The sequence below is a fragment of the Homo sapiens genome, chromosome 4 (assembly GCF_000001405.40).
Source record: "Homo sapiens chromosome 4, GRCh38.p14 Primary Assembly".
NCBI lineage: Eukaryota > Metazoa > Chordata > Mammalia > Primates > Hominidae > Homo > Homo sapiens.
In genome coordinates, this window is record NC_000004.12 from 12,998,554 (window position 1) to 13,000,009 (window position 1,456).

Genomic DNA, 1,456 nt, shown 5'->3' on the forward strand with positions numbered 1-1,456 from the left:
GGGTCTTCCTTTACAAATCAGATGCCCTCTTTTCTACTCTCCCTTTCTTTTCCCCAAGCCCTGCCAACCACATAACGTATTTTTTCTATTCTTATTGTCATCCTCCCTATTCTTTTCATAGCCAAGTTTATATTCATGCACGGTATTGACATTCCTTGTTTTCAGTGGCAAAATTTTCTTCCTTGTCTTTTGGAGACTCATGAAATAAGTGCAGGTCTAAATTTTCAAGACCTTCTTTAATTAGTGTTTAATTTATTATGTGGCATACAGTGAAGAAAGGAGCATTTATCTTTATTGTAGAGTGAAATGCTAATGGGACAACTAAAAGAAAAAGATATTAGGCATTTTCAAAGCCTCTGTTCTGAAAAGGCAGCAGGTTGACATTGATTAAAATATCACATATTGTGGAACGTGTGAAAGAAGGTTAACTGGGGCCAGCAAAAATATTTTTCCTCTCAGGTGTGTAAAATCTTGGATTTCATGGTTTACATATATCCTAGACCGGCTTGGAGGCAATCCGAATGTGAACAACACGTCATCTTTTCACTCTGAAACTGGCATTTATTTGTATAGTTCTTCTCAGAACTACCAAGAACAGTATTGGATGATCTTGGTAGAGGGCAAGATAATCAATTCCAATCGTGCAAGAGTTTTTACGTCTCTGCTTGTATCACACTCAACATCATCACATTGTCCCAAAGCAAGACCGGAGTTAGAAAGTGGGACACACTCTAAAGTTACATGACATGGATCTGGGGGTGAAAAGAATTGGACTGTTATGCCACTCTACTAAAAGATTGTTTACTTTCACCTAGCCTTTCTCTCATCTCCAGAAAGTCTTAGTAATTTCAACACTTTAAAAATTAATATCAACTACTATGATGTGAATTCTTGATATCTGAAAATTCTCAGAAGAATCCTCTAGACACTAGTCATATAGCAAAACAAAAAATGTTACTTTGAAGTGAATCCTTAGAAATCCTTAATTCCTATCTGTTTATGTTACAGATGAGGAAACTGAAGACAGGAAAGATGGTTAGTGAAACAGCTGGTGTTAGAAGCTAAATTTAGTTCATTTAATACTCTACTCTAATTAGGACTTTATACAGCTATGTAATGACAGAGAGAATTAAGACCCCATTTTACACGTTGTTAACTAAGGGGTAAGGTTGCATCCTTGTAGTCAGATCACGACACAAATGGTCTTTTTTTAACCACATCACTGAGCTCTCCAGGGTCATGTGCTTCAGGAAATCACTTGCCTAAACAGCTCTACTCTTTCCTAGGGAAAGTACAAATATTTATTAATACTTTCTATTGTCCAAACTCAATCCATAGTTTATCACAATCATCAGATAATAAAAATTAGGTATATTACTTCTTTCTGTTCTCTAGACAACTTTCATTACTCCTATTCATTCTTTCTTTCAATTTTTCAATGAATGTCAATACTGTA